The sequence below is a fragment of the Homo sapiens genome, chromosome 4, assembly GCF_000001405.40.
Source record: "Homo sapiens chromosome 4, GRCh38.p14 Primary Assembly".
Taxonomy (NCBI): domain Eukaryota; kingdom Metazoa; phylum Chordata; class Mammalia; order Primates; family Hominidae; genus Homo; species Homo sapiens.
Window position 1 is genome coordinate 57,457,506 of NC_000004.12, and position 15,030 is coordinate 57,472,535.

A 15,030-nucleotide genomic window follows, 5' to 3' on the forward strand; every position below is an offset into this window, starting at 1 on the left:
AATTAGAAAAACTATTTTAAAATTTATGTGGAAACAAAAAAGAGCTCATATAGCCAAGATAACCCTAAGCAAAAAGAACAAAGCTGGAGACATCACGCTACCTGACTTCAAATTATACTACAAGGCTACAGTAACCAAAACAGCATGGTACTGATACAAAAACAGACACATAGAACAATCGAACAGAATAGAAAACACAGAACTAAGACTGCACATCTACTACCACCTGATTTTTGATAAACCTGACAAAAATAAAATAGAAATACATGTACCATTCAGGACATAGGCATGGGCAAAAATTTCATGACCAAGACATCAAAAGCAATTGCAACGAAAGCAAAAATTGACAAATGGGATCTAATTAAACTAAAGAGCTTCTGCACAGCAAAAGAAACTAACATCAGGGAGAACAGACAACCTACAGAATGGGAGGACATTTTTGCCACCTATTTATCTGGCAAAGTTCTAATATCTGGAATCTATGAGGAATTTAAACAAATTTACAAGAAAATAACAAACAACTCCATTAAAAATTGGGCAAAGGAAATGAACAGACACTTCTCAGAAGAAGATATTTATATGTCCAAGAAGCATATGAAAAGAAGCTCAGCATGTGTATTGGTCTGTATTCATGCTGCTGATAAAGACATACCCGAGACTGGGAAGAAAAAGAGGTTTAATTGGACTTACAGTTCCACACGGCTGGGGAGGTTTCAGAATACTGGTGGAGGGCAAAGGGCACTTCTTACGTTGGTGGTGGCAAGAGAGAATGAGGAGGAAGCAAAGGTGGAAACCCCTGATAAACCCATCAGATCCTGTGAGACTTGTTCACTATCATGAGACTAGCATGGGAAAGACTGGCCCTTATGGTTCAATTACCTCCCCCTGGGTACCTCCCACAACACATGGAAATTTTGGGAGATACAATTCGAGTTGAGATTTGGGCAGGGACACAGCCAAACTATATCAGCATCACTGATCATTAGAGATACACAAATCAAAACCACAATGAGATACTATCTCACACCAGTCAGAATGACAATGATTAAAAACTCAAGAAGCAACGGATGCTGGCAAGGCTGCAGAGAAAAAGGAATACTTTCACACTGCTGGTGGGATTGTAAATTAGTTCAATCATTGTGGAAGACAGTGTGGTGATTCCTTAAAAACCTAAACACAGAAATACCATTTGACCCAGCAATCCCATTACTAGGTATATCCCCAAAGGAATATAAATCATTCTATTATAAAGATAAATGCATGCATGTGTTTATTGCAGTACTATTCACAGTAGCAAAGATGTGGAATCAACCCAAATGCCACCAATGATAAACTGGTTACAGAAAATGTGGTACGTATACATTATAGAATACTATGCAACCATACAAAAAGATGAGATCAAATCCTTTGCAGGGACTTGGGTGCAGCTGGAAGCTATTATCCTCAGCAAACTAATGCAGGAACAGAAAACCAAACACCACATGTTCTTACTCATAAGTGGGAGCTGAACAATGAGAACAAATACACACAGGGAGGGGAACAACATTCATTGGGGCCTGTTGGGAGGGTGGTGGGAGGAGGGAGAGCATCAGGAAAAATAGCTAATGCATGCTGGGCTTAATACTTAGGTGATGGGTTGATAGGTGCAGCAAACCACTATGACACACATTTACCTATGTAACAAACCTGCACATCCTGCACATGTACCCTGGAACTTAAAATAAAATAAAGTTAAATTAAAAAAATTACTATCTATCATTTTTCAGCATGAGCAAATGATAGCACAAATTTATACAGGTCACTTATTTGAATATCACTCATTTATCTAATTAACCCCCACTCCTTCTTGGTCAGGTAGATAAAATATGCATTGTTATTTTAGCAGGAAATGGATGCCCAAAGAAGAACAATATAGTGATGAAACTCACCACTTGGCTGAGAAGTGGAGCTATTTATTTATTTATTTAACAAATGTTTATTGAGGTACTATTGTGTGGGAGATAATAGAAGGGATACAGAGAATAAAAGATAGTTATTTCCTTTAAGAGGGAGGTGACAAATGAATGTTCACTATGTGTCAAGGGCTATGCTAGGTATGTCCCATGCTTTTAATTCTCACACCCGCCCTGCAAGGCAGGACTCTCACAATTTCTCAGATAAGGAAGGTCAGGAAATTTGTATAATCTGTCTACGGAGACAAAAGTAATTAAGTGGAGAAGGTGGTATTTGAGCTCGGATGTCACTGAGTTCTGAGCTCAACTTTCTTCCATCATGTTGTTGCTTTTTATTGCAAGGAGCTCGTCTTATACCTATAAAAACAGAATTAACAAATCAAGACCACCATTTATTTCCTTAGACCCACAAGTTAGTCAAACTAAGTGTCATTCCCTAAGCATTCTGCGTTCTCTTGTCTCTTTATCTTTGCTCATGTCTTTTCCTAAGCTTAAAACGCCCTCCAGTCTCCACCATTTATTACAGTGCTGTCCGTTTATGAAGACTCAGTTTAAAACCTATCTCTTTCATGAGGCTGAAACCTACTCTCATTTTTCCAGCAGGAATGATTTCTCCCTCCTTAAAACTTGTATTTATCATGAAAGATAATTTGCTTAGTTGTTTTTGCACTTCTTATTGTGTCTTTGTAGTAGGTAATCTCAAGGACATCCCTCAATGATCTCCATCTTCTATTGTTATACCTAGTGTACTTATTGTAATCCTCTCTCCTTGAATGTGGGCTGGATTTATTGATCTAGTCTAAAGAACAGTATATAACAGAAGTTTTGGGATGTCACTTCTGACATTAGCTAACAAAAAGGTTGTGACTCCTGTGTTAAGCTCTCACTTTCACTTTCTTTTGGATTTTTTGCTCTGGAGAAAGGAAGTTGTTATGTAGAGAGGTCCATGTGGCAAGGGATCATGGTGAGTGAGTGAGTGAGTGAGTGAGGAAGTAGATTCCCCCTCATTGAGCTTTCAGATGAGACTTCAGCCCTAGTTGACAGCTTGTCTGCTACCTCATGAGAGGCCTTGATACAGAGGCACTCAGCTAATATGTAGCCAGATTCTGACCCACAGAAATTATACAATTATGATAAATATTTGTTGTACTATATGACTACATTTTGGAGCAATTTATTATGAATCAATAGATAGCCAATATAGTACTACTAGACAGCAAATGGCTTATAAGTTGGAGTCTTTTTCTTCTTTGTCTTTATCTGCATAATCAAGCAGGACATTTTGCATTAGTGGCAGGAAGAAATACCCTCCCTCATGTTTATGATACTGGTGAGAAAAATTTGTAATAAAAAAGATCTTATTAGAATTGATAACATCTCTCCTAGATAGCAAAGAAAGAGCTAGTCTCAATTACTATGGTGGCTCAGGGAAGGGCCAAAAACATCTAGTCCTGAAATATCAAGATTCTTGTTTCATAAAGGACAGCACCTCAAGTCAGGTTGATAGAAGAAATGTCTTTTCTTCACAAATGATTAGATTTGATTATCCTCCGGGAAAAATTCTTGGTTACCTTGGCATGTGTTTGTTTATGAGATAAAGTAATGAGAAAACCAGTTGCAGTTCACCCTGACAGGGTGGAGGAAACAGAATTGTGGAAATATCTTTGCTTTTGCTCTTGACACCAGATCTCACCTTTTCCCTTCTCCCTCCTTTCCTGTGTTTGCAGCTGAGCACCTCAATTAACACCTCAATAAAGCCTGGGGACTTTAGTGTTGAAGCCTCAGGAGAAGCTACCAAGAATTCTCCTTTTTCCAGTGGGGTAGTGCAGTTTCCCAAGTGTGTTAGTTCATTTTGTGCTGCTATAACAGAATACCAAAGACTGGATAATTTATAAACATTAAAATAGAAATTTATTTCTTATGGTTCTGGAGGATGAGAGGTACAAGATCAAGGTGCCAGCATATTTGGTGTCTGGTGAGGGCTTGGTTTCCACTTTCAGGATGGTGCCTTGAATGCTGCATCCTCTGGAGAAAAGGAATGTTTTTCCTCACATGGCAGAGGAACAGAAGAGAGCAAACTCACTCTTAGAAGTCCTCCTTATAGTGACATTAAATCCATCCATTAGGATGGAGTCCTCATGACCTAAACACCACTCATTAGACTGCATCCAACTCTGTTCCATTGGGGATTAAGTTTTGCCATGAGTTTTGGAGGGAACAAACATTCAAACCATGGCACCATGGGAAGGAGTAAGATCACCAACCTAGCTTGATGAAGGGAGGGACTACTTGAGATGAAAAAGTAGCTAAGAGATGGTAAATATTCCTGTATGCTAATTTATAATCTTTTGTCAAAAGTCAGGGACTGCAAGCCCTCTTCCTCAGGGCACAAAGCAAAGGTGAATCTAAAGGAAAGTTACAACCACTGTTCCTTCTGGACCATCCCTCTTTTAAGAGTTATTTGGCCATTACATAAAGATTGAATCAGATAAACCTGGGCAGGTTAGGATAAAGGTATTCAGGAAGGTGTGGCCACTATAATGCTTCCCAAGCATCTTGCAGGAGCCTCCAGGAGCAAGGTGAAAGACAGACTGTATCTTTGCTCCTTTTATTCCTCAACTCCCAACTCTGGGGATTATTAGAAGAAGTCTTTTAGATTAGTGCTCAAATTCCTTATTTCATTGTAGACTTGTGGGTAACAGTTTCTGGACCAACTCCTTGCTGTCAGCACAGGAAGGACCTATGAGCTGACAGTGGCTCCAAACGTTCCAAAGGCACAAGGAACAGTGTGATTATATCCCCCAATTTCTCTCTTTAGGTCAGTGGTCCCAAACTGGAGGCATTAGCACTTTTGGAATGTGCACCTCTAGAATGAGTATGTGGCAAGAATGATTTAAAAAATTAATTTCTTTATAGGGTTTTGGCTTAAAGTCTGACTGTATGAGGGCATGTCAAGAAGAGGTAAGAAAATTTATCTTAAAAATTAACCTTAAAACTGCATTGATGAAAACCCTTATTTTGTTTTGCCGTGTGAGTTTATTACCACTGCTGTAGCTCAAGTTCTCATGCAGGGTAAAGAAATGTTCTGTTTTTTCCAATATGTTCTCATTTGTTTGCTGCCAATGTTTTTCACTATTATGAACATATTTGTTGTGTGTGTGTATGTGTGTGTCTGTGTGTTTTAATTAAATCTGGCTTTGTCAGGCTAACAAGTTTCTCATTATTGGCAAATACAGAAATACTAAGGTAATGTGCTATTTGTTGACCACGGAAAAGTGAAGGATTAGATGTTTTGTGCTGGGTTGGGGGGGACCTCAATTAATAACCTTCTGCTCCTTATGAAAAATCTGTAGAATATTATCTTAAAAGTAATCATAGAAAAAACTTCAAGAAATGTTTAAAAAAGAGAGAGAGAAAAAGAAAAAAAGCTTATTTAACCAAAATAAACACAGATTGAAGGAACAATCCAAAAGAATTATCTTCATTATTCCACAGCCAACAGTAAAGGCTTATATCCCATTATGGTAATGAGCAAACCTTTGAACTTTGCATTGTTCACTGCCAGGCATCAGCACTTAAGGCTTAGGCAAACAATGTTGTACAATTGCTTTAGGGAGTTGCTAGGATAATACCTCGGCTTGTGTTTCTGAGTAGGCTTGATCCTTCCTTCCCAGTCTGCATTTCCCAAAGCAGAGGCTGGAAAGGCATAACACTGGATTAAAAAGTAGACTGTTAGGAGTCACACATCAAGATTCTCTCATGCTGTAGTACTTCCCCTTGTTGGTAAGCGGTGGATGGACATGGAGGCAGGTGATTTGCCCTGTCAAGTCTTGATAGTGCTATTAATTCTAAGTCTCTGCAAACCTTTTTGAGCTCATATAGAGAATATCCAAATACTCAGATGGAGTCTTAACTGAAGCATGCAACTTATCCAAACATTTGAAGTGGCCAACTGGGAAAAGTGTACCACAGGGGAAACCACAGTACTTTGGAATTAGATGGGCCTGGGTTTGAATCTTACCTAGAACAAATTATTCATCTTTCTGTTTTCCCCTTTGCAATATGGGTGACATAATAGTATCATGCCCCATAAGTCTGTGTCTGATGAAGAGCAAATGCTCAGTAAGTAGAAGTTTCTAAGGAAATGGTCAATCCAATCATATAAGATTGTTCCAATGACTAATTGAATATATTTAGTTTTAAGGCTGAACTTCCTGGAAAGTTTGATTAGAAATCTGATTGGATATATGTGGGTATGTAGTTTTAATGAAAAAAAAAAATCAGCCAAAACCAATATTTGCCTTGATGGGTTGTAATGCTCATTGCAAATACTCGATTTATTGCTTGGATTTATTATTTATTAAATTATGACATTAGCTACATCTTTAATCTTAGAAGTCCTTAGTTGGCTTGAGAGGAGCGATGTGTCTCTCTGATTTTCTAATTGTCTAATCATGGAAGAATTTGAGTATATAAATAAGATTTCATCAAAGCTATTATTTATTATTTGAATCCTGGGATTTTTAAAAACATAATTTAGGTATATCATAGAGGCTAAGATAGATTCTGTACCACTCAAGTGGTATGTCCTGTTTTTCCTGGAAATTCAGCCAGATTTTGCCTCCCAGCATCCCTTTGCAGTTAGTTGAGGCCATGTGACTGAATTCTAGCCAGTGGATTGTGAATGAAAATGTTATGCTCCACCATCTGCTTGCCTGGCTAATTGAAACTTGTATGTGCTTCTCCATGCTCCTTTTTTGCTTCTAGCTGGACTGAGTGCCCATGACCTCAGGGACATCTTGGAAGCTATATGTAGAAGATGGAAAAGCCTCTGTCATCTCCATCAATTTAATCTCCAAATAACTACTTAGAAAAGGGACAGCTTACTAACTCCTTCATTGCCCAGTACTATTAGGTGAGTAAGAAATAAACCTCTTTTATATTAGACAAAATATATATTTTGGGGCTTTTTTGTTCCAGCAGTTAGCTTGACCTCACTATTATGTGTATTCTATTACCATAGACTAGGGAGTGCCTTTAAGTTTTATCTATTCAGATATTCTGCCTTTGTCAGTAACAGGATGTCTACTGGGTTTCATGAAGAAATTGAGATTGAGGAAAGGCAGAAAGAGGCTTCAAAGAATAGTTAATATATTTCATAGCCACATTTTCTCAGCTGATAGTACTTCATAATGTTAAAACTTCTTCTCAAGTTCTTTGAGATTGTTTCCCTTTGTGCCTGGTACAGAACTGTCCATATTACTCATATGAGTGAAAATTACCATTGAGGTTGCTTCTGTCTGTTTGGGATGATATAAAGAACAGTTACCAAGATCAAAGTAGAATTTCTGGCTGAGAGAAAAAAGTGATTTAGAGAAAGGGAGAGAGAGCAAGTGGGAGTTCACTAGGTATTGACTGTGTGCTAAGATGGTGACAGCTGAGTGAAAACCCAAATGTTAAAAAAGTACTTTCATGCTACTGAATGCTGGGTGCATTGTCAAGGGAGAAGGGTGAGGCCTTGGCACACATCAGATATGTGACTTTGGCAAATCACTAAAATTCTCTGGGCTGAGTTTTCTAATTATGAAGGGGGATCTGACCAGATAATTTCTAAGATGCCTTTACTCTAAATATTTGACCCCAAGCCATATGAGTAAAAATTTTATGTGCTAATAGCCATATATTGGTGCTGTAGTATAATAAACAGGTGAATACGCCGTCTTCTCCCTATTCTTCCACAAATACTCCACGGCTTATTAGTATACAGGCATAATATAATTTTTCAGGGCTTGTTGGTGATGCTCAGTGACATCTTGTGCAGATCCACACGGGCAGGGCATCTGGGGCAGCTACATTCAATTTTAAATAAAACAAAGCAAAGTAGCAGCTGTTTGGCATTAGAGGGAATTTTAAGACTGCATTCCGATTCCACCAAGGGAAGGAGCAAACAAAAGTGAATAACATTTTAAGCCAGTGAGTCTGAAATATTTAATGCCATCTGCATTCTCTCAGTAAGTGGCCATCACCTGCAATGTACTCTCATTTTCCCTTAAAAGCAGAATTGACAATAATTTACGATAGGATAAAAGATGCATTGGCATTCAAAATACTGCATTCTTAGTTCATCTTCAGTGCTCTTGCCATAATTATGAGTTACTCATCTAAGTCTGTTTTCCATTATAGCTAAAAACATTATAACAGGAGATTCAAATTCTACATGGTGGGAGCAAAAGTGGATCTTGTTTTTCTATAGCAACATGGTTGACCTTCATAGTGAAGTTTGAATCTGACAGCATTCATGCTCAAATGTCCAAGCCCTGCATTTCTGATACCATGGAATCACAAGCACGCTGTGTGATACTGTGCAGCATTTGATCCTGCCTGACTTCTGTGTCTCAGCCTATCAACGAAGATATTTATAGCTGCCTTATGCCAACGTACTTTTTAAAGCTGGGTAATACCAGTGTAAGATGGTCACATTTATCTTGAAAGCCGAGGTAGGGTACCATGTGTGCTCCCTGAACTACTGTCTCCTTGTTCCTTTTGTTTTTTCCTAACTCATTCATTCATTCATTGAACAAATATTTCTTGAGAGGTGGCCCTATGCTAGATATTTTAGTAAGTGTTGGAGATACAGGGGCAAATAGGATAGACCTATTTCCTCTCTTTACCATCTAGTGCAGAAAATAGACACTGAACAATTAGTTACAGGGATAATAAATGAAGAGTTTGCAAAGCAAGAGAGAGTGGCTGAGCCTTAAGGGTTGGGTGGAAATTAGTCAGGCAAAGAGCGTAGAGAGGGCATTTGAAGAGGTAAGGACAGCTCCAGCAAGTAAATTTATGTAGAATGTATTCAGTAAACATATGTGTGATTCCTTCAGGGGCTTTGGTGTCTGTGTCTTGTTGGAGTATGAGAACAAGTCAGTAGGTTCAGGACATGAGCCTGGAGGGACCGGCAGCGGTCTGATCCCAGATGCTCTGATGTGCCGTTTTGGGGAGTTTAGACTATATCTGGTAGATAAACGTCATTGAAGGGTTAAACAGGAAAGTCGGATGATATTATTATCTTTTATAAGACTCAGTGGTAGGGAAATTGGATTTGAGGGAATAGACGAGAGAGCAGGACTTTCATACGAAGCTTTATCTCTTCTGTGGAAGCAGTCACAGATCTACACATGCTTCTCTCTGACGGAAAGGCTGCCCGTGAGCCTCTTCTAATTTGTGCTGGGTGGTATCCACCCGTATTTCAATGCCCATCCTAAGTACCACTCCCTTGGCGGACCTTCACTCTCAGAATTTGCCTCTTCATTTGAAATTCTTTTTTTTTTTTTTTTTTTAAATTCCTCACCCACCTCTTACCCTTTTCCCAGAGTCCCCAAAGTCCATTATATCATTCTTTTTTTTTTTTGAGACAGTCTCACTTTGTCGCCCAGGCAGGAGTGCAGTGGCATGATCTCCGCTCACTGCAACTTTCGCTACCCAGGCTCAGGCAATTCTCTTGCCACAGCCTCCCAAGTAGCTGGGATTACAGGCATGTGCCACCATGCCCAGCTATTTTTTTTTTGTATTTTTAGTAGCGACGGGGTTTCACCATGTTGGCCAGGCCGGTCTTGAACTCCTAACCTCAAGTGATCCACCTGCCTCGGCCCCACCACAAAGTGCTGAGATTACAGGAGTAGAGCCACTGTGCCCTGCCCATTATATGATTCTTATGCCTTTGCTTCCTCACAGCTTGTCTCCCACTTATATGTGAGAACATATGATATTTGGTTTTCCATTCCTGTATTACTTCACTTAGAAAGACCATCTCCAGGGCAACAGAGCGAGACTCCATCTCAAAAAAAAAAAAAAAAAGAATGATGGTCTCCAATTCCATCCAGTTTGCTGCGAATGCCAATATTTAATTCCTTTTTATGGCTGAGTAGCATTTCATGGTGTATACACACCACAATTTTTTTTTATTATACTTTAAGTTCTGGTGTACATGTGCAGAATGTGCATGTTTTATTACATAGGTATACATGTGCCATGGTGGTTTGCTGCACCCATCAACCCGTCACCCACATTAGGTATTTCTCCTAATGCTATCCCACCCCTAGCCCCCCACCCCACATCAGGCCCTGGTGTATGATGTTCCCCTCCCTGTGTCCATGTGTTCTCCTTGTTCAACTCCCACTTGTGAGTGAGAACATGTGGTGTTTGGTTTTCTGTTCTTGTGATAGTTTGCTGAGAATGATGGTTTCCAGCCTCATCCATGTCCCTGCAAAGGACATGAACTCATCCCTTTTTTATGGCTGCATTGTATTCCATCATGTATATGTGCCACATTTTCTTTATCCAGTCTATTATTGATGGACTTTTGGATTAGTTCCAAGTCTTTGCTATTGAGAATAGTGCCACAATAAACATACGTGTACATGTGTCTTTATAGTAGAATGATTTACAAACCTTTGGGTATATACCCAATAATGGGATTGCTGGGTCAAATGGTGTTTCTAGTTCTAGAACCTTAAGGAATTGCCACACTGTCTTCCACAATGGTTGAACTAATTTACACTCCCACCAACAGTGTAAAAGCATTCCTATTTCTCCACATCCTCTCCAGCACCTGTTGTTTCCTGACTTTTTAATGATTGCCATTCTAACTGGTGTGAGATGGTATCTCATTGTGGTTTTGATTTGCATTTCTCTAATGACCAGTGATGATGAGCATTTTTTCATGTTTGTTGGCTGCATAAATGTCTTCTTTTAGGAAGTGTCTGTGTATATCCTTCACCCACTTTTTGATCGGGTTGTTCGTTTTTTTCTTGTAAATTTGTTTAAGCTTTTTGTAAATTCTGGATATTAGCCCTTTGTCAGATGGATAGATTGCAAAATTTTCTCCCATTCTGTAGGCTGCCTGTTCATTCTGATGATAGTTTCTTTTGCTGTGCAGAAGCTCTTTAGTTTAATTAGATCCTATTTGTCAATTTTGGCTTTTGTTTCCATTGCTTTCGGTGTTTTAGACATGAAGTCTTTGCCATGCCTATGTACTGAATGGTATTGCCCAGGTTTTCTTCGAGAATTTTTATGGTTTTAGGTCTTATATGTAAGTCTTTAATCCATCTTGAGTTGATATTTGTATAAGGTGTAAGGAAGAGGTCCAGTTTCAGCTTTCTGCATATGGCTAGCCAGTTTTCCGAACACCATTTATTAAATAGGGAATCTTTCCCCATTGCTTGTTTGTGTCAGGTTTGTCAAAGATCAGATGGTTGTAGATGTGTGGTGTTATTTCTGAGGTCTCTGGTCTGTTCCATTGGTCTATATATCTGTTTTGATACCAGTACCATGCTGTTTTTGTTACTGTAGCCTTGTAGTATAGTTTGAAGTCAGGTACTGTGATGCCTCCAGCTTTGTACTTTTTGCTTAGGATTGACTTCACTGTGTGAGATCCTTTTTGGTTCCATATAAAGTTTAAAGCAGTTTTCTTCAATTCTGTGACCTAGTCAGTGGTAGCTTGATGGGGATAGCATTGAATCTATAAATTATTTTGGGCAGTATGGCCATTTTCATGATATTGATTCTTCTTATCTATGAGCATGGAATGTTTTTCCATTTGTTTGTGTCCTCTCTTATTTCCTTGAACAGTGGTTTGTAGTTCTCCTTGAAGAGGTCCTTCACATCCCTTGTAAGGTGTATTTCTAGGTATTTTATTCTCTTAGTAGCAATTGTGAATGGGAGTTCACTCATGATTTGGCTCACTGTCTGTTATTGGTGTATAGGAATGCTTGTGATTTTTGCATATTGATTTTGTATCCTGAGACTTTGCTGAATTTGCTTATTAGCTTAATGAGATTTTGGGCTGAGATGATGGCATTTTCTAAATATACAATCATGTCATCTGTAAACAGAGACAATTTGACTTCCTCTCCTCCTATTTGAATAGGCTTTATTTCGTTCTCTTGCCTGATTGCCCTGGCCAGAACTTCCAACACTATGTTGAATAGGAGTGGTGACAGAGGGCATCCTTGTCTTGTTCCAGTTTTCAAAGGGAATGCTTCCATTTTTTGCCCATTCAGTATGAAATTGCCTGTGGGTTTGTCATAAATAGCTCTTATTATTTTGAGATATGTTCCATCGATTCCTAGTTTATTGAGAGTTTTTAGCATGAAGGGGTGTTGAGTTTTGTCGAAGGCCTTTTCTGCATCTATTGAGATAATCATGTGGTTTTTGTCATTGGTTCTGTTTATGTGATGGATTACATTTATTGATTTGCATATGTTGAACCATTCTTGCATCTCAGGTACGAAGCTGACTTGATCACGGTGGATAAGCTTATTGATGTGCTGCTTGATTCGGTTTGGCAGTATTTTACTGAGCATTTTTGCATTGATGTTCATCAGGGATATTGGCCTGAAATTTTCGTTTTTTGTTGTGTCTCTGCCAGGTTTTGGTATCAGGATGATGCTGGTCTCATAAAATGAGTTAGGGAGGATTCCTCTTTTTCTATTGTTTGGAATAGTTTCATAAGAAATGGTACCAGCTCCTCTTTGTACCTCTGGTAGAATTCAGCTGTTAATCTGTCTGGTCCTGGACTTTTTTTGGTTGGTAGGCTACTAATTACTGCCTCAATTTCAGAACTTGTTTTTGGTCTATTCAGGGATTTGACTTCTTTCTGGTTTAGACTTGGGAGGATGTACGTGTCCAGGCATTTATCCATTTCTTGTAGGTTTTCTAGTTTATTTGCATAGAGGTGTTTATAGCATTCTCTGATGGTAGTTTGTATTTCTGTGGGATCAGTGGTGATATCCCCTATATCATTTTTTATTGCATTTATTTGATTCTTCTCTCTTTTCTTCTTTATTAGTCTGGCTAGCGGTCTATTTATTTTGTTGATCTTTTCAACAAACTAGCTCCTTGATTCACTGATTTTTTGAAAGGCTTTTCGTGTCTCTATTGCCTTCAGTTCCACTCTGAGGTTAGTTATTTCTTGTCTTTTGCTAGGTTTTGAATTTGTTTGGGGCATTTAGTCCATTTACATTTAAGATTAATATTGTTATGTGTGAATTTGATCCTTTCATTAACATGCTAGCTGGTTGTTTTGCCCATTAGTTGATTCAGTTTCTTCATAGTGCCGATGTTCTTTACAATTTGGTAGGTATTTGCAGTGGCTGGTACTGGTTGTTCCTTTCCATGTTTAGTGCCTCCTTCAGGAGCTCTTCTAAGGCAGGCTTGGTGGTTATAAAATCTCTCAGCATTTGCTTGTCTGTAAAGGATTTTATTTCTCCTTTGCTTATGAAGCTTAGTTTGGCTGGATATGAAATTCTGGTTTGAAAATTATTTTCTTTAAGAATGTTGAATATTGGCCCCGACTCTCTTCTAGCTTGTAGGGTTTCTGCAGAGAGATCTGCTGTTAGTCTGATAGGGTATCCCGACCTTTCTCTCTGGCTGCCCTTAACATTTTTTCCTTCATTTCAACCTTGGTGAATCTAACGATTATGTGTCTTGGGGTTGCTCTTCTCAAGGAGTATCTTTATGGTGTTCTCTGTATTTCCTGAATTTGAATGTTGGCCTGTCTTGCTAGGTTGGGGAAGTTCTCCCGGATAATAACCTGAAGAGTGTTTTACAACTTGGTTTCATTCTCCCCATCACTTTCAGGTACACCAATCAAACATAGGTTTGGTCTTTTCACATAGTTCCATATTTCTTGGAGGCTTTGTTGGTTCCTTTTTATTCTTTTTTCTCTAATCTTGTCTTCTTGCTTTATTTCATTAAGTTGATCTTCTTTTTTTTTCTCTTATTGTTCCTTTATATATTTTTTATTATACTTTAAGTTATAGGGTACATGTGCACAATGTGCAGGTTTGTTACATATGTATACATGTGCGATGTTGGTTTGCCGCACCCATTAACTCGTCATTTACATTAAGTATTTCTCCTAATGCTATCCCTCCCCACTCTCCCCACCCCACAACAGGCCTCGGTGTGTGATGTTCCCCTTCCTGTGTCCAAATGTTCTCATTGTTCAATTCCCACCTATGAGTGATAACATGCGGTATTTGGTTTTTTGTCCTTGCAATAGTTTGCTGAGAATGATGGTTTCCATCTTCATCCATGTCCCTACAAAGGACATGAACTCATCATTTTTTATGGCTGCATAGTATTCCATGGTGTATATGTGTCACATTTTCTTTCATTAAGTTGATCTTCAATCACTGATAGCCTTTCTTCTGCTTGATCGATTTGGCTATTGATACTTGTGTATGCTTCACGAAGTTCTCGTGCTGTGTTTTTTATTTCCATCAGGTCATTTATGGTCTTTTCTACATTGGTTATTCTAGTGAGCAATTTGAATAACCTTATTTCAGAGTTCTTAACTTCCTTGCCTTGGGTTAGAACATGCTCCTTTAGCTCGGAGGAGTTTGTTATTACCCACCTTCTGAAGCCCACCTCAGTCTATTCGTCAGACTCATTCTCCATTCAATTTTGTTCCCATGCTGGCGAGGAGTTGTGATCCTTTGGAGGAGAAGAGGCATTCTTGTTTTTGGAATTTTCAGGCTTTTTGCGCTGGTTTCTCCCCATCTTTGTGGATTTATCTACCTTTGGTCTTTGATGTTGGTGACCTTCAGATGGGGTCTTTGAGTGGACGTGCTATCCTTTCTGTTTGTTAGTTTTCCTTCTAACAGTCAGGCCCCTCTGCTGCAGGTCTGCTGGAGTTTGCTGGAGGTCCACTCCAGATGCTGATTGCCTGGAGATCACCAGTGGAGGCGCAGGATAGCAAAGACTGCTGCCTGTTCTTTCCTCTGGAAGCTTCGTCCCAGAGGGACACCTGCCAGATGCCAGCCAGAGCCCTCCTGTATGAGGTGTCTGTTGGCCCCTAATGGGAGGTGTCTCCCAGTCAGGATACATGGGGGTCAGGGACCCACTTGAGGAGGCGGTCTGACCCTAAGCAGAGCTCGAACACTGTGCTGGGAGGTCCGCTGCTCTCTTCAGAGCGGTCAGGCAGGGACGTTTAAGTCTGCTGAAGCTGCACCCACAGCTGCCCCTTCCCCCAGGTGCTCTGTTCCAGGGAGATGGGAGTTTTATCTATAAGTCCCTG

The 15,030-nt window shown here is 39.3% G+C and overlaps 1 long non-coding RNA gene across 1 annotated transcript in view; it reads left to right on the top strand.

Annotated features, from left to right (window-relative positions):
* Nucleotides 1–8,481, top strand: part of LINC02380 (long intergenic non-protein coding RNA 2380) — a 40,115-nt gene extending 31,634 nt beyond the window's left edge. Inside the window, exons 5-6 of the long non-coding RNA NR_125907.1 lie at nucleotides 6,720–6,867; nucleotides 8,136–8,481. This is a non-coding gene — a long non-coding RNA (long intergenic non-protein coding RNA 2380). The remainder of the gene's footprint in view (nucleotides 1–6,719; nucleotides 6,868–8,135) is intronic.